This window comes from Homo sapiens, chromosome X (assembly GCF_000001405.40).
Source record: "Homo sapiens chromosome X, GRCh38.p14 Primary Assembly".
NCBI lineage: Eukaryota > Metazoa > Chordata > Mammalia > Primates > Hominidae > Homo > Homo sapiens.
In genome coordinates this window covers 102,832,310-102,855,158 of record NC_000023.11, presented here as the reverse complement: position 1 = coordinate 102,855,158, position 22,849 = coordinate 102,832,310, and the positions used below count along the sequence as shown (strand labels likewise).

General features: G+C 38.2%; 1 protein-coding gene and 1 long non-coding RNA gene across 9 annotated transcripts in view; both read right to left on the bottom strand.

The window, feature by feature from the left end:
- Window positions 1-22,849, bottom strand: part of ARMCX5-GPRASP2 (ARMCX5-GPRASP2 readthrough) — a 308,717-nt gene that overhangs the window by 52,906 nt on the left and 232,962 nt on the right. Inside the window, exons 8-11 of one of the 2 annotated variants that reach the window (NR_146587.2) lie at window positions 20,389-20,531; window positions 20,183-20,257; window positions 15,296-15,358; window positions 9,139-9,302 (exon numbers count right to left, since the gene is read on the bottom strand). The gene's annotated coding sequence lies outside the window, so the exon portion shown is untranslated. Of the gene's footprint in view, window positions 1-9,138; window positions 9,303-15,186; window positions 15,359-20,182; window positions 20,258-20,388; window positions 20,532-22,849 lie in introns of both variants that reach the window. The other variant, NR_146584.3, reaches the window with a different exon arrangement.
- Window positions 1-22,849, bottom strand: part of LINC00630 (long intergenic non-protein coding RNA 630) — a 195,371-nt gene that overhangs the window by 109,365 nt on the left and 63,157 nt on the right. For 3 of the 7 annotated variants that reach the window (NR_146591.1, NR_146592.1, NR_146588.1), the window contains 2 exons: window positions 15,187-15,358; window positions 9,139-9,302 (listed from right to left, as the gene is read on the bottom strand). This is a non-coding gene — a long non-coding RNA (long intergenic non-protein coding RNA 630). Of the gene's footprint in view, window positions 1-9,138; window positions 9,303-15,186; window positions 15,359-20,182; window positions 20,532-22,849 lie in introns of all 7 variants that reach the window. The other 4 variants (NR_146589.1, NR_146593.1, NR_146590.1 and 1 more) reach the window with 3 other exon arrangements.

Here is a 22,849-nt window from a genome sequence, read left to right as displayed (position 1 = left end):
GCTGAGAATCAAATTAAGAACTCCTTTTATAATAGCTGCAAAAAAATAAAATAGAATACTTAGGAATACACCTAACCAAGGAGGTGAAAGACCTCTACAAGGAAAACTACAGAACACTGCTGAAAGAAATTATAGACGACACAAACAAATGGATACACATCCTATGCTCATGGATGAGTACAATCAATATTGTGAAAATGACCATACTGTCAAAAGCAATCTACAAATTCAATGCAATTCCCATCAAAATACTACCATCATTCTTCACGGAACTAGAAAAAAACAATCCTAAAATTCACATGGAACCAAAAAAGAGCCTGTATAGCCAAAGCAAGACTAGGCAAAAAGAACAAATATGGAGGCATCACATTACCTTACTTCAAACTATACTATAAGGCCAGAGTCACCAAAACAGCATGGTACTGGTATAAAAATAGGCACATAGACTATATATGAAACATTTATATACATATATATATATATATATATATATATATATACACACACACACACACACACATATATATACACATATATATACACACACACACAAACACACACACACACACACACACATATATATATATATATATATAAAACAGAATAGAGAACCCAGAAACAAAGCCAAATACTTAGAGCCAACTGATCTTCGACAAAGCAAACAAAAACTTCAAGTAGGGAAAGGACACCCTATTCAACAAATGGTGCTGGGATAATTGGCAAGCCACATGCAGAACGATGAAACTGGATCCTCATCTGTCATCTTATAAAAAATCAACTAGAGATGGATCAAAAACTTAAATCTAAGACCTGAAACTACAAAAATTCTAGAAGGTAACATCAGAAAAACCATTCCAGGCATTGGCTTGGGCAAGGATTTCATGATAAGAAACCGAAAGCAAATGCAATAAAAACAAAGATGAACTGCTGGGACTTAATTAAACTAAAGAGTTTTGCATGGCAAAAGGAACAGTCAGCAGAGTAAACAGACAACTCACAGAGTGGGACAAAACCTTCACAATCTATACATCTGATAAAGGACTAATATCCACAACCTACAACAAACTCAAACAAATTAACAAGAAAAAAAAACAAACAATCCCATCAAAAAGTGGGCCTAGGACATGAATAGACAATTCTCAAAAGAAGATATACAAATGGCCAACAAACATGAAGAAAAGCTCAACATCACTAATGATCAGGGAAATACAAATAAAAACCAAAATGCAATATGATCACCATACTCCTGCAAGAATGGCCATAATAAAAAAATTTAAAAAAAAATAGATGTTGGTATAGATGCAGTGAAAAGGGAACCCTTCTACACTGCTGGTAGGAATGTAAACTAGTACAACCACTATGGAAAACAGTGTGAGATTCTTTAAAGAACTAAAAGTACAACCACCATTTGATCCAGCAATCCCACTACTGGGTATCTACCCAGAGAAAAATAAGTCATTATACAAAAAAGATACTTGAACCCACACATTTATAGCAGTACAATTTGCAATTGCAAAAATGTGGAACCAACCCAAATGCCCATCAATCAATGAGTGGATAAGGAAACTGTGGTATATATCGATATATATGATGGAATACTACTCAGCCATAAAAAGGAATGAATTAATGGCATTTCCAGCAACCTGTATGGGATTGGAGACTATTATTGTTAGTGAAGTAACTCAGGAATATAAAACCAAACATCATATGTTCTCACTCATAAATGGCAGCTAAGCTAGGATGCAAAGAATGACACAATGGAATTTGGGGACTCGGGGAAAGGGTAGGAAGGAGGAGAGGGATAAAAGTCTACAAGTCAGGTTCAGTGTATACTGCTCAGGTGATGGGTGCACCAAAATCTCACAAAATACCACTAAAGAACTTACTCATGTAACCAAATACCACCTGTTCCCCAAAAACCTGTGGAAATAAAAAAAAAAAAGTAAACAAATAGTATTGTACAAATACAAAATAAATGAAAAGGAAAATAAAATAAAAAAAAGAAAGAAATTCCTTTACCCATGTCACCCTAGAAAGAAAGAAACCAAAAATCATGTGGAACAAAAGGAATGAAAAGACCTCAGGTCACTTTCTGCTGCTACATTTCCAGATACACTCTGTTTTAAATCTTCTATTTTATTACACGTAGGTATTTTATCTTGGTACCAGCAATCTTTCTTCTAAGAATCTATCCCAAAAACACAATGAAAAAAGACCAAATGGCATAAACACAAGGCCATTACTGGCAGAACAAATCATAACAACAGGAGACTAGAAATAAAACAAATGTCCACCAATAAGTGGTTTATTGAATAATCTAAGGTATATCTATATCCTAGAATACTATGCAGCAATAAAAAGCAAGGACTCCTTCTCTATACTGCTATGTATTGATCTCTAGAATATATTCTTAAGCGGAAAAAAATGAGGTGCAGAAATATGTCTGAGCTGTTGCTGTTTATTATGGTAGACACTAGCCACATATGGCTATTTAAATTTAGGTTGATTAAATTTAGATGAAATAAATAATTCAGTTCTTCAATTACAATCACCACATTTTGGGTGTTCAAGAACCACAGGGACCTAGTGGCTACTGTGGTGAACAGTGTAGACAGAGACTCTTTATCTCTGCAGAAATCATATTGGACTCCACTGAAGTAGAGTAGCCTACTTTTAAACCATAAAATAGGAGAAAATAATGTATTTGCTTATAATTTTAAAATTAGAAGGTCAAAACAAACATTGATAAAAATGATTATGCATAAAGGGATAGAACAGCAGCCCAGGATTAAAGACAATCATGTGTATTATCTCAAAATATAATACATATTTAATGGTTTTAAGCACTGAAAAGGATAAGTAATAATGACCAACCCAATAGTAATGGGCAACTCTAGTACCAAGAATGAGACCTCTAAAACATTTCCCACTAAAAAGAACCAGACTCCTTTGGAAAAAATGTCTGACTCCAGGTCTGGGGTAGGAATGGTACCAGAGGAGTCTAGACCAAACTAACATACTCAAAACCATGTCAAGAATAAGTTGAGCTAAAGAAGCTTCCATTCACAAAGACAGAAAAATCTGAACATCAATAAAAATATTGCAATAGGTTAAAACACATCAGATATAGAAACATCTAGAGCTTATGAAAACACTTTAAAATAATAATAGAATAGAACAAAAGAAAACAAAACAAAATCAACTCACTGCTCCCCTCTGAAGAATCCTAGAACAACCCATTATTTTGAAAAGTAGAAATATAACAAAAGAATTAAGCATTCATCTTATTTTCCTATGCATACTATACTAACCTATAGTTGATGAGGGGATGTTTCTTTTATAGAATAATTCAAGCTAATAAATGCCAAAAATAGAATTAGAACATCACCTTGCTACAACTTTTAATGAAATGTGGACTTATACACATTTAGAGGCTGCAAAATACTTGAGGTATAATGCAGATGGGAATTTTTATAATCAATAAATCTAACAACTTTTGAACCTAGTGATCAATCTTAACATCGTAAGAGGAGAGACAACTAGATACAATTAACCTCCTCATGGTATAATGCTTTAGGAATAAACAACACCACAGATTTTTCTGCCAAAAAATCTGAATTGGATCAAGACTCTAAATCTAATACAAATTTAAAGGAAAAGAAGTTGCCAGTGGAATATAATAAACAACACAATAAGGATATAAGTCAGCAAAATCCACAAAGCAAACTCCATAGGGCAAAATATCTTAAGCAAATAAATTGGAATGTGTGATGGTTAATTTTATGTGTCAACTTGACTGAGCAACAAAGGTCCCAGATATTTGGTCAGACATTATTCTGGGCTGGACATGGTGGCTCATGCCTGTAATCCCAGCACTTTGAAAGGCCGAGGTAGGCAGGTCACTTGAGGCCAGGAGTTCAAGACCAGCCGGGCCAACAGCCAAACCCTGTCTCTACTAAAAATACAAAAATTATCCAGGTGTGGTGGCACACGCCTGTAATCCCAGCTACTCAGGTGGCTGAGGCAGGAGAATTGCTTGAACCTGGGAGGTGGAGGTTGCAGTGAGCCGAGATGGTGCCACCGCACTCTAGCCTGGGCAACAGAGAGAGATCCTGTCTAAAAAAAACCAAACAAACAAACAAAAAAAAACCGTTATTCTTGGTGTGTCTTTGATGGTGTCTCTGGATGAGATTAACATTCAAATGGGTGAACTGAGTAAAGAAATTTGCCTTCTCTAATGTGCATGGGCCTCGTCCAATCAATTGAAGATGTAAACAGAACAAAAAGGCTGACCAGGAGGAATTTCTCTGCCTCATTTTCTGAACTGAAACATTGGTCTTTTCCTGCCTTTGGACATGAATTCAAATCACCTTTTCTTGTGTTTCTAGCCAGCAAGCTTTTGGCCTGGAATTTACAACATTAACTCTCCAGATTCTCAGACCTTCAGTTTTGAATAGGAACTATACCACAGGCTCTCTTGGAAATCAAGTTTGCCTACTGCAGATGTTGACAAATCTCAGCCTTCATAATTACATGAGCCAACTACTTATAATAAATCTTTATCAGTATGGTTCAACTTATAATTTTTCAACATTATGGTGGTACAAAAGTGATATCCATTCAGTAGAAACTGTACTTTGAGTACTCATACACCTGTTTTTCACTTTCTGTACAGTATTCAATAAATTACAGAAGATATTCAATACTTTATTATAAAATAGACTTTGTATGGAATGATTTTGCCCAGGTGTAGGCTAATGTAAGGGTTCTGAGTGTGTTTAAGGCAAATTAGGTTAAGCTATGATGTTCAGTAGGTTAGGTGTATTAAGTGCATTTTTGACTTATGATATTTTCAACTTAGGATAGGTTTATTGGGATGTAACTCCATAATAAGTCAAGGACCCTCTGTGTGTTTGTGTGTGTGTGTGTACATATATGTGTGTGTTTGTGTGTGTATATACATACAAGCATATCTCTGTTTTATTGCATTTCACAGATATTGCATGTTTTACAAACAGAAGTTTTATGGCAACCTTGCATCAAGCATGTCTATTAGCACCATTTTTCCAATAGCATGTGCTCATTTTGTGTGTCTGTCATATTTTGGTAATTCTCACAATATTTCAAATTTTTTCATTATTATTGTAATAGCTATTGTGGTGATCTGTGAACAGTGGTCTTTGATTTTACTGTTGTAATTGTTTCGGGGCAGGCACCACAAACTACACCCATCTAAGATGACTAACTTAATTGATAAATGTATGTGCTCTAACTGCTTCACTGACTGGCTGTTTCTCGGTCTCTCTCCCTGTCCTCAGGCCTCCCTATTCCCTGGGACACAACAATATTGAAATTAGGCTATTATATTAACCCTATAATGGCTTTGAATGTTCAGGTGAAAGGACGAGTCCCATGTCTCTCACTTTAAATCAAAAGCTAGAAATGATTACACTGAGTAAGCAAGGCATGTCAAAAGTTGAGACAGGCCAAAAGCTAGGCCTCTTGCACCAAACAGCCAGGTTGTGAACACAAAGTAAATGTTTTTCAAGGAGATTAAAAGTTCTCCTCTAGTGAACACATGAATGAAAAGAATGCAAAACAGCCTTATTGCTGGTAAAGAGAAAGTTTTAGTGACCTGGATAGAAGATCAAATCAGCCACAACATTCCCTTAAGCCAAAGCATAATCCAGAGCAAGGCTCTAACTCTATTCAATTCTATGAAGGCTAAGAAAATGTGAGGAAGCAGCAGAAGAAAAGTGTAGCCAGAAGAAAAGCTGGAGCTAGCAAAGGTTGGTTCGTGAGGTTTAAGGAAAGAACCCATCTCCACAACATGAAAGTGCAAGGTGAAGTAGCATGTGCTCATGTAGAAGCTACAGCAAATTATCCAGAGACATAGGTAAAATAATTGACGAGGGTTGCTATACTAAACAAAATATTTTCAATGTAGAGAAAACAGTTTTATAGTGGAAGAAGATGCCATGTAGAACTTTCATAGCTAGAAAGTAGAAAACAATGCCTGGCTTCAAAGCTTCGAAGGACAGACTAACTCTTTTTTTTAGGGGTTAATAAAGCTGGTGACTTAAAATTGAAGCCAATGTTCAATTACCATTCTGAATATCCAAGGGCCCTTAAAAATTATGCTAAATATACTCTGTCTGCATTCTAGAAATAAAACAACAAGCCTAAATGACAGCACCTCTGTTTACAGCATGGTTTACTGAATACTTTAAGCCCGCTATTGAGGCCTACTGCTCAGTGATTCCTCTGGTGGACCCAGGCAAAGTAAATGGAAAAATCTTCTAGAAAGAATTCATTTTAAATGCCATTGTGAACATTGTGATTCATAGGAAGAGGTCAAAATATCAACATTAAAAGGAATTTGGAAGAAGTTGATTCCAACCCTCATGGATGACTTTGAGGGGTTCGAGACCTCAGTGGAAGAATAACTGCAGATGTGATGGAAACAGCAAGAGATCTAGAATTAAAGTAGAGCTTGAAGATGTGATGGAATTGCTGCAATCTCAAGATCAAACTTGAACAGATAAGGAGTTTTTTCTTCTGGATGAGTAAAGAAAGTGGTTGGTTGAGATGGAATCTACTTCTGTTGAAGATGCAGTGAGCATCATTGAAATGACAACAAAAGGTTTAGAATATTACATAAACTTGATAAAGCAGTGGCAGGGTTTGAAAGATTGACCTTAATTTTGAAATAACTTGAACTCTGGGTAAAACGCTATCAAATAGTATCACATGCTTATGGAAAAATCTTTTGTGAAAGGAAGAGTCAATGGATGCAGCAAACTTCATTGTTGTCTTATCTTAAGAAATTATTAGAACTGTGCCAACTTTCAGCAACCACCACCCCGATCTGTTAGCCATCAACAGCATCAAGGCCCTCTACCAACAAAAAGATAATAATTCACTGAAGGCTCAGATGATTGTTAGCAGTTTTTAGCAATAAAGTCTTTTTAAATTAAGGTAAGTACACTATTTTTATAGACATAATGCTATTTGCATATTTAATAGACTACAGTAGTGTAAACATAACTTTTATATGCAGTGGGAAACCATAAAATTCATGTGACTTGCTTAATATGGTATTTGCTTTATTGCAGTGGTCTGCAACTAAACCTGTAATATCTCTGCAATGTCTCTGTGTGTGTGTGTGTATATATATATATACACAGATATACATACATACATATATGAGTGTATGTGTATATATGTGTGTATATATATACACATATATCACACACATATACATATATATGTACACATATATATATGAGTCGTTCTGTTTTGTTGGAGAACTCTAAGTAGAAGGTTGAAAAAAAGGATGGACCTTCTTTGAATTAAAAGGGACTTGACACTTTGGAGAAATTACAATTAAAACCAGTAGGAGATAGTACCACATGCTCACCAGAACAACAAAAATGGAAAAGATGGAAAATACCAAGTGCTGGTGAGGATATGGATTAAGTGAAACTCTCACACACTGCTGGTGGGAATATAGATTGAAAAAAAAAAACACTGTAAAAACTGCTTGGTGGTATCTATGGAGCCACACACAGACATACCCTATGACTCAGGAATGCTATTCTTTGGTATATGCCCAAGAGAGATGAAAATATATGTCCATCTATTTGATACAAACAAAAATGTTCGTATGATCATTACTCATGATAAGTCAAAAACTGGAAAATACCCAAGTTTTTATAACAGATAACTATATTGTGAAGTATCCAAACAATATAATACTTTACAACAACGAGAATGAATAATCTACAACTACAAACAACAATACATGTTAATCTCACACACATTATGTTGATTGAAGGGAGCCAGACACAAGAGAGTGCATGCTGTATGATTCCAGTAATATTTCTTCTAACCTCCTGATAAAGCTTGAGGAAGGAGAATATCAACAACCTATTTCTTTTTCTTTTAAGTTACTTAGTGTCCTCTTATGTTATGTAGCTTAACCTCAGAGAAGCAAAGCAAGTTTCTTCTGAGCCCTTTAGAAGTGAACAACTGCATATAAGATCAAAAGCTAATACTATGTCTGGTGGACAGACAACTGGGTGTGAGTGATTCAGACGAGAATCATACATGGATGCGCAGTCTGCACAAAATCCCACAGTAGTCAATGAGTCACCATGGTAACCATGCTGGCCAAGGAGAAAGGTGGAAAAAAAGCAAAGAATAATCACTCTGATTTGGTTCATAAAATGTGCGAAGAATTGAAAGAGACTGACATGACCACATTAACACTCCTTAAGTGTTCCTAACAATAGATACTCATCACAACTTCAGTGATATAAACATATATATATATATATATATATATATGTGCATGTACATACACTGATATATCCACATGCTCTCTCGCTCTCTCTCACCACCAAAGAACTCATGATTCATCAGGTAAGGAAGAAAAACACAATTCAACTGATTCAATTCTAACCACAAATATAAAATTGGAAGTACTATAACTATTCTTTTATAGATTGATCTTTCTAGAGTTGACCTGTAGATTGTCTTTAGGCCTTTTCTTCTCTTCTTGAGTTGGATGACTCAGTTTTGTTATGATGTCTGTTCTCCCCAAAATGATCTATGCTTTCAATGGAATCCCAGTCAAAATACTAGCATAAATTTTTTTCTAGAAATTAACAAGTTGATATTAAAATTCATGTGGAATTCCCTCAATTTTTGTTTTTCTGATTTAAAGTCTTTTAAAAAATGTAAAACGAGGCTAAAACTGATAGACTGCAAGGAGAAATATTAATACATGAATCAAATTGCTAGGGACATCTTCTAACTAACTGCATAGTTCAACCCCCATCTGGGAGATAAATGGGAATGACTTATACAGTCAGAAAAAATATGTATTTATTACAAGTGCATATTAAGATCAAGTTCTTTCTTCAGTGTGGGTAATTCATTGCTTTCAAAGCAGGCATCACTTAGATGGGTGTCAAGGGCTACTTCAAAGCATACAGTTGCTGATGAAAGGAAATTCCACCCGCTAAACCTCTTCCCCAGTGATGAGATGAAAGTAGCTTCTTTATTTTTAAGCTATTTTGTGAACCTCACAGGAGCTATTCCACCACATGCTTTTGTTCAGGTCCATGAACTCACCATAAGCAGGTGTCATGTCCTACCAGGGATGTAAGTGCTGGTGGTCTCCTAGGATTGTTGCCCTTTAAGTCAGGAGTAGAAGCTTTGGCAGCCATCATGACCCAAATCCTCAGAATCTGCCTCTTTCAGACACCTGATATGAGCTCAGACATCCACATGAAGAGCTGTACAAGGAGAAAGAGAATCCAGCAATCACTGTGCTTTCTTAGAGTAACTATGTGCCTGGCACCATGCTAGGCACTGGGTTAGTGAACAATGACACTGATACAATTGGGTAGTGATCATAACAATTAGAAGGGTCGTCAGTGGGTTTCTCACTAGGACCTTTTTCTTCTCCTTTCCTCATCTATCTTCTAACAACAAAATTGAAAAGGAATGAGAAGTGACCTCAACTCACACAGGTATTCCTGATTCTGCAATAACCACAGGGCTATGGGCTTGCATTTGTGTTATTACAATCCCGGTTGCAGCAATCCTGTATGTGAGCATTCTTATCCCCATTTTACAGAAGGGGAAGCTGAGGTCAAAGAGAGTCATTACCAGTCTCATCCTCCCATGCCTGGCCTTTATGTGGAAAGTAGCTACAGGACACCCTGGAGCAATACATGACACTCACTGGGGTGAGAAGAGTCCTATGTCTCTCTCATTCATCCCAGGGCAGTTCAGCCCCCACCATGGGGCACCCACAACCTCAACTGAGTCCCAAACACCTGAAGGCAGGACCTTGCTCTCATAGCCATATTATTCTAGGTCTTCTGCTCTATTAAAAGATGCAGAAGCCCCATAATGACTTCAGGTTTCCATGGCAACTGTGATGCATTGACTTGTCCTCTATGTCTCACACACCTTTGCATAGTTCCTTTGCCTATAGCTGAAAGCATATAGACCACTTTAGACCACCACCTGCAAAAGCATACTCACTAGAGGAACTAGGCTGGGACCCAGGCAATTGGGGAAACTCTGCCCAGTTTGGTAGAAGAAAGCAGGTCCCTGTGGTCAAAAATTTTATTTGTTTAAAAGTGACAGTAGAGGAGTATCACCAGTATCCAGAGACCCAGGACGTACCCCAGGGCTCTTGGTGATGAGCTAGCCCTCTGAAAGTGAACGTGCAAAACTCATACATTATGCTAAGTGGTTAGTCATCTGTGGCGGAAAACTAGAGAATGTCTATAATCATATTTATGATTAAAATGATCTAAAATACCATAAAATGTCATTTAAGGAATCTCAAATTTATTTCATGGAAGCAGGCCTATAATAATATCATCATTTAGTAGGCAGACATCTAGTCAATTCAATAACACATTGGGTTATCCTGGAAAATTTTTATCCTACATTTTTGATACTTTTTCCATGTGGAGAGACATCCATGAAAAAAAAAAAAAGAAAAAAACAAAAACACATGTAGCCTCTCTACACACTCACTCCTTCTCTATCGCAGGAATGACTTAACCGACTGGTAAGTTTGAAAGGAGAAATGGGTTGTTCACCCCAGGTCCTCTCCCTTCAAAACTCTAAATAGTAAGCCGCCCTTCAGGAGCAATCATCCTGCTCTGTCCTCAGGGATGGGTCTTACAACAGGCCTACAGCTCTACTCCCCTTTCTGTGCCTCACTGGCTCCTCAACTCTTTCTATGGTCTTGCTTTACAATGCTTTTGTGTTTAAGAAGCCCCCAAAATACCTTCCTGCTCTTAGTCTGAACTCTAAACCAACTAAAAAAATCACAAAAAAGTAATAAGCATAATACATTGATTTTATTCCTCATAAAAGTGATATTGGAGAATATGACTTAGATTTACTGTCACATGGGCTTTCTATGAATGAACCCCAGAACTGGACAGATTAGTCCATCCAGCAGTGCTGCATTGGGACAGTCACAAAGGCCAAGGACTGCAATGAACAGTTAACTACCTGCTGTCTCCTGAAGGAGCCCTGACTATGTGTACCCAAGGAAAGTAATCTCCTTGCCAAGGGCTATCCCTGTAGCAGGAGAAAGTATCTCAGGACACCTTCTTTGAAAAACAGTTCACAAGTGATAGATAACCCTTGTCCCAATAGCATATTCATCAAGCAACCTGCTGAAGATATGATTTTCCATATGGCTTGGGAGGAGCGTGTAGTAGCAGCCTCTGAATTCCTTAAAATGAGTGATTGCAGTGGAAGCTCCTTTTATGGAGGGGGATTTGAATTAGGTTCTAAATTCCAAGAGTGGGTTGAAAATCATATATTGTGAAATTTTCCCTTGAAAAATCCCTTCAAGAAGGAATTGAGGAAATGTTCAGAATTCAATACCCACACATAAACTCATATGCAGATTATGGCAAAATATATAACAAAGTCCTACCAAGGCTTTAAGGCTAAGAGAATCTCTACAAATTCCAGTATAATAGATTAGAGAAAAAGAGGGAAAGTTCACCAAATCCACATGTTTTGGATATTCATTTCTACTTAACAAAACGTCCCAAACAATAGCCATTTATTATCTCTCAGGATTTTGTGAGTTCACTAGGCTTCGCTGGATGATTTCTGCTCAATGTGGTATCTGTCATCAGGGACTGCAATCATCTAAATACAGAAAAATGCATCCTGGGACTTCCAAAAAAGCTCACTTACATGGATGACTGATGCTGGCATCTGCTGGGAGCTTAGTAGGGGCTACTGTGTAGAGCACCTTGGTTCAATACAGAGTCTTCTATGGGAAGGGTAGAAAGATAAAATAGAGTACATCTAGGTAAATCTGAATGTTTTAGTGTATATAATTTTGTTTATCTGAAGTTCAAATTCAACTGGTCATACTGTTTTGTTTTGTTTTAAATCTGGAAAGTCTAAGGGGTGACCCTGTGAATCTGTAAGTTTAATGACCATCTGATATGATTCTTCCAATGGGAAAGGTCTGGCGAAAACAAGCAGATCAGATTGTCAAAAAAAAAAAAACAAAACAAAACAAAACAAAAAAGACAAAAGCTGGTAACACCTGGTGTCTGTGGAACAAAGGGGCAATGAACACTTGGATACACTGCTGGTGCCAAATTGGTGTATATATTTTTTGAGGTCCACATTATTACAACTTCATAACTTGAATGGCCTTCAATACAGAAGTCCTATTTCACCAACAAAAGAGTTTCAAATGAGGGTTTAGAAAGGGATCCCAAAGTGATTTTGACCTGCAATTTGGTTAAGGAAGCTTGGGTGAGGGGGCAGGTTAGGAGTCATATGAACTTTTGGCCACAAAGAGGAAAGATAGCTAATATTTATGAAGCCGATTTTTAGCCAAGCCTAGTGCTACATTCTTCGCGTTAGTAGTTGGAATTAACCCACATAACAGCCCTGCTAGTGAGGTGTTGCTATTCTCTCTCCACAGACGGATGTGACTACAAAGCACATATTCCTTACCAGAGAAGGATGGCAAAGACATTGCTCACCAGGCCTACTGCTAGAGCCAGGAATAGAATCTGTCAATGTGGGCACCCTGAGGTGCTGGTGGCATTTCCAGCAAGGATCCAAGTTTGGTGCCCCTTCCCCTTGCTTCAGGAATGGTTTGTGGCAGAGCTAGAAGCAGAAGCTTCAGACATGAAGCCAGTATTTCTTCCATCTTTTATGAAAACTTAAGGAAAGGATTGGGCTGCTTATTATCTTGTAGGAAAGGGAGGACCTCTGAGGACACAGAGAAGGGAGAGGAAGAGAGATTTCTCCCAGACAGGAATGATGTCAGAGGTCTACAGGTCCCTCTAGGAGTAGGAACCTGAGAACTGCTCCATATCAAAGCTTGGAGTGGCTCCTGGATGGTCCACCTAGAGTGGGTATTCAACGTGAGACAGATTTTTCTGTTTGGATCAAAGGATAGATAACAGTGGTAGCATTTTTTTCTTATTTCTTGTATGTTTGATGCTCTGGCATCTGAGGCCTTGCTAACTGGGGAGGGACTACTCTGTCCAGGGTCAGCTAATTCCTAGTCCTAACAAAGAACTCACCTAAGGAGCACACCTTTTATATTCAAACTAACTAATACAGAGCACCTACACATACACACTCACACCTCCTCTACTGGGCTCTTATACTCCAGGCCAATAGTACCCTCCCCTAATCATACCAGAACCTGATTCTGTCAGAGGCATTTGAACCAGAGAAACTCTATTTTGAATAGGGGCTAAGTAAAATAAGGTTGAGACCTACTGGGCTGTATTCCCAGAAGGTCAAGGCATTCTTAGTCACAGGATGAGATAGGAGGTCATAAAGACTTTGCTGATAAAACGGGTTGCAGTAAAGAAGCCAGCTAAAACCCAACGAAACCAAAATGGCTATGAAAGTGACCTCTGGTTGTCCACACTGCTATTATAATGCATTAGCATGCTAAAAGACACTCCCACAAGCATCAAGACAGTTTACAAATGCCATGACAACATCAGGAAGTTACCCTATATGGTATAAAATGAGGAGAAACCTTCAGTTCTGGGAACTGCCCACACCTTTCCCGGAAAACTCATGAATAATCCACCCCCATGTTTAGCATATAATCAAGAAATATCCATAAAAATGGGCAACCAGCAGCCCTCGGGGCTGCTCTACCTATGGAGTAGCCATTTTTTTATTCTTTTACTTTCTAAATAAACTTGCTTTCACTTTACTCTATGGACCTGCCCCAAATTCTTTCCTGAGTGAGATCCAACAACCTTCTCTTGGGGTCTGGATCAGAACCTCTTTCCAGTAACAATTCCAGACAACTTAGGACAGCCCCTGCACCACAGAACCTACTGAAATTATTCCGAGTAGTCAGTCCTAAGCCTAATTATCCTGCCTTGTCTGTCATTTACCACGGAAAACCACAATAAAGGCTTTTGCCACGTTTACCTCCTGCCTAAATTGGTGGACTCTGAGTGGACTTATGTGGAATGGAGAGCGCCCCCTCTTGGGAACTTTGAGTAATAAACTATCTCCTTAATGGCAGTTGTCTCCTGATCCCTTGGCCTCACTATCCTAAATAATAAAACCTACATTGTAAAACAGTGCCTCAGGAAGAGGGGACTTGAAGGCTCTGAGTCAGCAAAGAAAATGGGCAGCTTCCTGAGTCATGTGGACAGATGAGTGATGACTGCCAGAGCTCTTCCTGCTATATCAGGAGGCTAAATTCCCACAAGTGTAACTGTTTCCTCAAAAAGCATGAAAATTTAACATTGCTGTACTGTCTAATTGAACTGTACAATCCTTTTATTAATATGTATCCCAACCAACTATGAGAAGAGAGCACCTGCTTTTACAGATTTGAACAAATAAGTTTCATAAGACTTTTTAAATATTTGCTGCTGATCTGATATCCTGGCGTTATAATGTTAGATTCCTTTTCATTTTTTTATCACATTTTTAAATAAATGACATAGTTTACATTTATGCCTCAGAATATATCATAGAATAATTATTGAGTTTAGAAATAAACCCTGATGACTGATAGTGTGTGTTTACACTACATCCCATTTAAATGGAAAATGTAGGTGAAAAGAACTTCATACACTAATGGGGAAGAACAAATTGGTACAATGTCTTTGCAGAGACATTTGTCAACATCTATGAGAAAACAAAATGAGGCCCCCATCAGATGCTACTCTCTTAATCACGGACTATAGAGAGAAACACACATGTTGCACCAGAAAAGGTATACAAGCATGGTCACAACAACATGTCTAGTCATATCAAAACAATCCCAAAGTCATCTTATTAGAGAAATCTCAGAAACATTATCTTCAGAGGATGAAAAGCTGGATAACAGCACTAACTTAGCTAAAAGTATGGAAACAATTGTATGCCTTGTGTAATTCTCTCACAAGAAGTCTGTGAGGAAGGCATCATTATTTCCAGTTTACAGATTACCAACTCAGACTCACTGATGGAAAATCAATTTTGCAGAGGCATCTAGTAATGATCAGGAGTGGGGATGTAACTCTTACTCTCCTCAAAGGACAACATATGATCTCCTTTTAGAGATGATGACCATCTAGGACTTAAACACTTGTCGTTTTTTTATGTTGCTAGGATTATGCCCTTATGCGTACTCACTCAACAACCTCTCTCTCTGAAGAAGCTGATGGTGCAGATGAAATCCCACTGCAAGGTCCTGTGGGTGGTAATGGGTCTAGCATGAGGGTCAAGGGCTTGTGACTCCTACCTCCTCTTCATCTGCACTCTCTTCATTTGAGACTCAATGGGAAACTGCTTTTCCAATATCAATCTAGAAGATCAAACAAGGGAGGAGAAAATGACAAGGAATTAAAGAAAATGGTTCAATGAGCTTCTTCAGTCTCCCTCAATCCTTCAGCAAAGTTCTCCTGCAACACAGAAATGGCCCCAGTGCTTCATTCACAATGTTCTACTTCCTGCTCCATTTCCTGGTGGTCTTTGTGGCAGTTATGCTGGTTGGATTAGGTGACAGTCATCATTTCTCTGAGAGGGAAGGAAAAGGTGGGCCAGGACAAACATTTGTTGAAGTCCTACTAGGTGCCATCTACTCTGTACAGGATTTCCAATTTACCCCACAGAACAGTTCTGTGAGGAAGGCATTGTGAGTTCCTTTTACAGATGACCAAGAACAGGCTGACAGAGGCTAAGAAAGGATTCCAGTGTCATACATCAAGTAAGGGACAGGAATGAAGTTACAGCTTTTGCCATCATCACAATGTCCATGCATTCTCAATAAAGGAGATATTGTCCCCAAGGGGCTGAAAATTGATTCTGGAGGGTGGGGAGATGGTAGACGTTACAATGGTTTGTGGCACTACAATGAACCACACAGCACACAAACAGTTAACACTATATCTGTGCTATTAAAATTTCATGTTCCAGGCAGGAAGGAGCTAACGAGAAAAAAAATGAATGTCTAAAAAGCCTCCTTTGGATCATAAATAATGAAAGAAAGTTAAGAAACATTGCATGTACTCGGGGACTTCTGCGGATGATGAGCCACCAAGGCTTAGGGACTAGTCACTTTACAATCCCTCATGGATGCTCACTCAACAACCCCTCTTGGTGATGATGAGGATAATGATGAAATCCTGCCCCTAGGGCCAAGAGACCTGTGTATGGGAACCATGTGAACTGACTGTCTTTTAAGATGGCAGACAGGGGCTCAGTCAGACAACAGGTATTTCTTCTGGGAGAGATGATATTAATGTTTTTAAAATTGTAATCATATCATACTCTAAGTTGTATATCCTTTAACCTTCACCTTCATCCAGGTAACCTATTGTGAAATCCATAGTTTAGGTCAGGTTATAGGAAGTTAGGAGAGGTTAAGTAAATCAGGGGAACTATGTTGTTAATGCCTGCTCGGTAATAGAACCTGGAGTTTCATTAAAGCTTTGTGCCCTGAGGCTGCCAGGAATCTGAGTGCTCCAATCTCCCTGGCACTCATGTTCCAGTCTGCACCACAGATACCAAGATGTTGGAGTTTCTATTGTGATGCATTTGTTCAATAAAATATCCCAGCATTTAACATAGGTATACATGAATCCATACCAATATAAACAAAAGTTTGAATTAATAAAGAAATAGGTGAGAGAAGGAAAATTGTCTTTTTCAAATAATTCTAAGTGAAATATGTAGCTATCTGCTCTCCCTGAGGTCAAGCTTAATTTTGCACCCCACTTGCTGAGGGTAGGGCTGATTTTGTGACTTTCTCCTAAAGAACAGAGTAGGGAATGAAAAATGGTTATTAGAAACTTGACAGACACCACTTTCACCAAGTGATGAAACATTATCACCAGTGACTTCATGTGGGCATTATGTAAACCCAGATATGATGTGACAAGAAGGGCACTTCAACTCTGTGGCATTCTTTCTCAAAACCTTTAACACTAGTCTAATCACAAGAAAAACTAAGTCTGTATTTCTCAAGACAATCAGTCATGAAAATCATCTGGCAGTTCCTCACATGGATAGAGTTATCATATGACCCAGCAATTCCATTCCTAGGTACACACCCAAGATCAACACATTTATCTACATAAAAACTTGTACACAAATGTACATAGCAACCTTATTTGCAATAGCCCAAAACTGGCAGCAACCCAAATGTCCACTAATTGATTAATGTGTTTAAAATGTGATATATTACGATTATTCTTTGCCAATAAAAGGAATGAAGTATGGATATGCCATAATATAGATGAACCTTCAAAACATATGTGAAGTGAAAGTAGATATATGCAAAAGACCAAATATTATATAATTGCATTTACATGAAATTTCTGGAGTAAAGAAATCCACAGAGACACCAAGCATATCTGTGGTTTGAGGCTTGGGGTGGGAGCAAGGATTAATTGCATTCAAGCATGATGAGACTTTTTGGAGTGATGGAAATGTCTAAAACTTAGTTATGGGATGGTTGAACAATGCTATACATTTAATAAAATTCATCAAATTATGCCCTTTAAATGCGTAAATTATATTGTCTGTAGGTTTAGCTGCAAGAAAGCTGTTAAAAAATATGATATTGATCTGGTCTTCTGACATTGATTTGACGTACCTGCTTCATATAAACGTGAATGTATACAACTGTTGCTATATCCCAATCTGCTAACTCTTTCCTGTGTTCCTCCAAGCAATGACTGTGCCCTTTCCCCTCATGCTACCTTGGGTTTTGCTTGTGTGCAAAATTGGTAACTTCTGATCACTTCCACATCCTCCAATTATGGTAGTGGCTTGAGAGTTGATCCATGACAAAGTCCAGTGCCTGCCTTGTGTGACTAGATGTCAACATTACTAGTTTCTTCATTCCTCTGCAGCCACATGACTCCACTTGGGAAGCCTAAACGGAACTACCTTTATGGGTGTCAGTATGGCAATACCTAGCAAAGGGTTACGTAGGTATACACCTTTTGCACCAACAATTCTCTTTTAGAAGTTTATCTTCGGGACATAGTGGAAGATGTTGATGGGGATCCAGTGTTAAGGCCTGTCATCCTGATAATTCCCTTCCTTCACTGCAGAGCCTGAATTTAGAGACCAAATGAAACCTAAGGCCATAAAGGGGCAGAAGGAAGAGAGAAACGTAGTTGTCAGCACACACGAACTCTCTCTTATACAATAATCATGTTCTGTTATCACAATACCAGAATTCTCCTAGGAGGAACACATTCTGCTCACCAGTACAAACAGCTATGGGAACTGTGCCCTTTTGTAGTGCACAGACTTTGAAAAGATTTCATCCACAGAATGTGAGTAATAGGAACTATCAGAATACTCTGAATAACATAGAGTTGTAAAACTGATAATATCACATCCATAGGATGGAATTCTAGAAGGTAGCAAAAACAAATTATAATAAAAATAATCATGAAAAAATGATTTCTTGCAGACAAGATTAATGATTCACATTATTTTTAATGTGTGGAAAAACAGGCATTTTCATACTGTGATATAAGGAATATAAATTAGTAATAGTATTTTGAAGAATATTATAGTTCAAAGGATTTTGAAATGACATTTTCAGGAACTTATAAATAAATGCTCACAAAGACATTTGCATCTATATGAGCATAGTGTTAAGTATACTATTGTTTGTAATAGAAAAAAATAGTAAGGGAACTAAATTTTTGTAATTAGGATACCAATTAAATAAATTTTAGGGCATCCACATGATGAGATGATACCCAGGCCACTAAAAAAATGACACTAAAATTTTGTTGTAGTTATTTCAAATGTTATCATAAAAATATATTTACACAGAAAGGTAATCACAATAACAGTGAAAGTGGATTACAAAAATCATAAATGGTCTGATCCCATTTTTGCTTATATAGGCTTCTAGCTATTTAACCACAAGTCTCAACACATAAACATTAAAATGATCTTTTAGTTCCTCTCACATACCTCTTTCTCTTTAACATACTAAAAACCTGTACTTCCTGCTTAGAGGCCTTCAGTATCTTTTTTTGCCTGTGTATGCCACCTTTTACGCCCAGACTTCCAGAAAGTTCTATCTTGTAAGTTTGGACCACAGTCCCTCCCTTTCACCTTCCAGCTTACACTAGTTCAGGCTGCAGTTCAGGCTGCAGTTCAGGCTTCTGTTACAAGGTGGCACCAATGCACCTCCACTATCAAACTTTTTTGCAAAGAAGTGTATACAAAAACCAAAAAATACAATACCTTCCTAAAAACCTAGCTTATTAACCTTTATGGAACCATTCGAATGATTCAAATTCTGCCTGAAAAAAACTTAAAAGTGCAAGAGGACTGTAAAACAACAACAACAACAACAACATACTCTGGGGCATCCATATGATGGAACACCAGGTAGCTCTACTGCCCCTTGATAGTCACTGGCTGGAAGGCATAACGTGGGGCAGGGCCAGCAGGAGGTGACTGACAGAGGAGAGGGGCAGCGGAATGGGGTCTGGGCTGCTATGTTCACAGTATCCTGGAGACTAAGAGGGGTAGGCGAAGGTCTGAAAAGCCTGTACAGGTTGGGGTAATGAAGGATAACCACTCTGCTCTCTGGGAGGGACTCCTCTACACTGTGAACACCCCAACCTAAACTTTACTGATGAGGTAAGAGATAAATCTATAAATGCGAGGTAGATTTGGGGTCAAGAGCAAATGGAAATGCTTTAATATACACATTTCCAATCAGAGGGGACACAATTTAACCCACTGTTTTATTGTGTTGTGCCGTGATGAAAAAGTAAGATTTTTCTTCTTCTTTTTTTTTAGATGGAGTATTGCTCTGTTGCCCAGGCTGGAGTGCAGTGGTGCAATCTTGGCTCACTGCAACCTCCGCCTCCCAGGTTCAAGCAATTCTCCTGCCTCAGCACCTGAGAAGCAGCTGGGATTACAGGCGTGCGTCACCATGCCTGGCTACTTTTTATATTTTCAGTAGAGACAGGGTTTTGCCATGTTGGCAGGCTGGTCTCAAACTCCTGACCTCAAGTGTTCCGCCCGCCTAGGCCTCCCAATGTGCTGGGATTACAGGCGTGAGCCACTGTGCCCAGCTTTCCTGTAATATATTAATATACCAAACAGTCCAGGAGCCATTAGGCAAACTCCACACTTTGCTTACCTGGTGTTATCTATCACTGAGATCACGAGGTGATCCCTGTAACTGGGATTACAGGCGTGAGCCACTGTGCCCGGCCTGAAAAAGCAAGATTTTTCTCATCATTTGAGAGGCAGCAGCACACACTGGATAGATGAATTTACTCAGGAGCCACACAGCCTGTGTTCACATCTAAGCCTTGGCACTTGCTAACTCTGTCTTCACTGTACCTCAGTTTCCTTTTTTCTAAAGTCAGGCAACAATAGATCCTTCTCATAGGTTGTGGTGAGAATTAAATAAATAAGTACAGTTGACCTTTTGTATCTGTGGATTCTGCATACATGAATGCAACCAATCTTGGACTGAAAATATTCTGAAAAGAAAATAAAAACAATACAACAATAAAATACAAATTTTAAAACCAATTTGTATAACAACATTTATATAGCACTTACATTGTATTAGGTATCATAAGTAATCTAGAGATGATTTAAAGTATATGGGAGGACGTGCATAGGTTATATAGAAATACCACCCCATTTTATATCAAGGACTTTATATATACAATGGAATATTGTATTATAAATATATATGTATATGTATGTACGTATATGTGTGTGATTATATATATACATATATGTATATATATTCATATATATATACATGTACGTATATATACGTGTGTGTGATTATATATAATATATATTACATTGTATAATTATTTATGTATATATGTGTGTGTGTATATATATAATCACACATACACACAATGGAATATTATTTTGGCCTTTAAAAAGGAGACCCCTACTATTTGTGATAGCGTGAATGAACCTGGGGGACATTATGCTAAGTAAAATAAGCTAGACATAGAAAGAAGAATTATGCATGATTTCACTTACATGTAGAATCTAAAATAGTCAAGCTCATAGAAGCATAGAGCTGTCATTACCAGGAGTGGAGATGGGGGGAAGAGGGGAGATGTTGTTCAAAGGTATAAAATTGAAGCTATGAAGGATAAATAAGCCTAGAGATCTAATATACAGCATGATGACTACAGTTAATAGTAATATAATGTACACTGTAAATTTGGTAAGAGAGTAGGTTTCAAGTGCGTTCACAAAAAAATGATAGCTATGTGAATAGATGGATATGTTAATGCGCTTCACTGTAGTAATCATTTCTATCACTTTCTCTTTCCTCTCTCCATATATATATATATTTCATTTTATAAATACATATCTTTACTTTTTGAAATGTTATAATCGAGAAAACCACTGAGGTAATAATTTTAAGATTAAATTGTACATGGTTTGACAAAAACACGTACACATACACCTACTGTTTTTGGAATATGTACAAAACATATTGCTCATGGGAGAAGCAGCAGTTTGAAATAATTGCCTAGACATAGTAGGTGTGGGTGTATTTGTGTGTGTGTGTGTGTCTATGGCTAAAACACAACAACATTGTATGTGTTTGTGTATTTAGGGCTCAAACTCTATCACGCCAAACACACACTCCCAGGTACAGCTTTCTCTCCATCTCAGAAAAGGACTGGGCTTCCTATCTTGGGGCTTAGAGATCCCAGATAGTGATGAATACACAAGATTGCTGATAATGTGTGGAAAATTCCAGAAGCTCTGGCTGACAACCATCAAGTCTAGGTCCCTACTCCCTCCTACCACTCTTGCTGAGTCACCATCTGAGAATTCTAGAGCTGTAATTACGGGCAAAGGGGATCTATCACCATTTTGGTTTTCCTTTCTTAAAAATTAAAGCTCCTAATTTTTTAGATGACCAAACAGATGTTATTCTTTAGAGTCATTCGTGAAACAGTTTGGAGAATGTGTTGCCAATTCTTTTTGGAAAATTCCTATGTATATTAAAAGGCTAAGCATAAGCTTCATTTTATGTCCACTCCATATATTTTGTTCACTGATCCATCTCCTTTGCTCGCTCTGTCTCTCATCAGTGTTGGCTGACATGTCTTCGCTCTAGAGATGGCCCCTCCCAGACAGCAGGCCATTCAAGACCCCAAGACTCCACTCCTGTACAGACTTCCTAGACCGTTTCCCACTCCCTCTCTGTCATCTCATCTCCAGGACTCTTGATGCAGCAGCTCTGACCAGTATCGCTGAATCATGCTCTGAGCTCAGAGGAGGCTGTTGCATAGCAACAGAGGCTCAGAGACAAATACAGTCTCTGGAAGGAAGAGCACTCCCAGGTAATGCTGGCACCATTAAGAAAGTGGATAAAGATAATCATACCTTCAAAACATCCTCAAAAGCAACCCACCTTCTCTCCCTGCCAGAGACACCTCACACCATGGACGCAGCCTACATTTTCTAGCCCTGTGTGCCAAGTACTCTGTGCTCTGAGCAAACGGCACCATTGGCTGAGCCTTCCATTTTCCAATGACCCCAGGGTCTGTCTCATTAACAGGGTCTCCTTAATAGGGTTATATTTGCGGAGTTTGTTTTCTGCACACACAGGATAACAGTCCATCTTCAGGACCGCCCTATAAAAGGAGTGGTGTCAGTTCCTTTTTGAGATGAGGAAACTGTGTCTCCAAGATGGTGAGAACCAAGTCTGCCTTTCCTTTGAAAAGGCAGCTTGCAGTAATTCATGAGAGCACAGAACTGAGAATCAGCAGGCCTGTGTTCTACCTCCAGCTCATGAAAGCATGTAAAA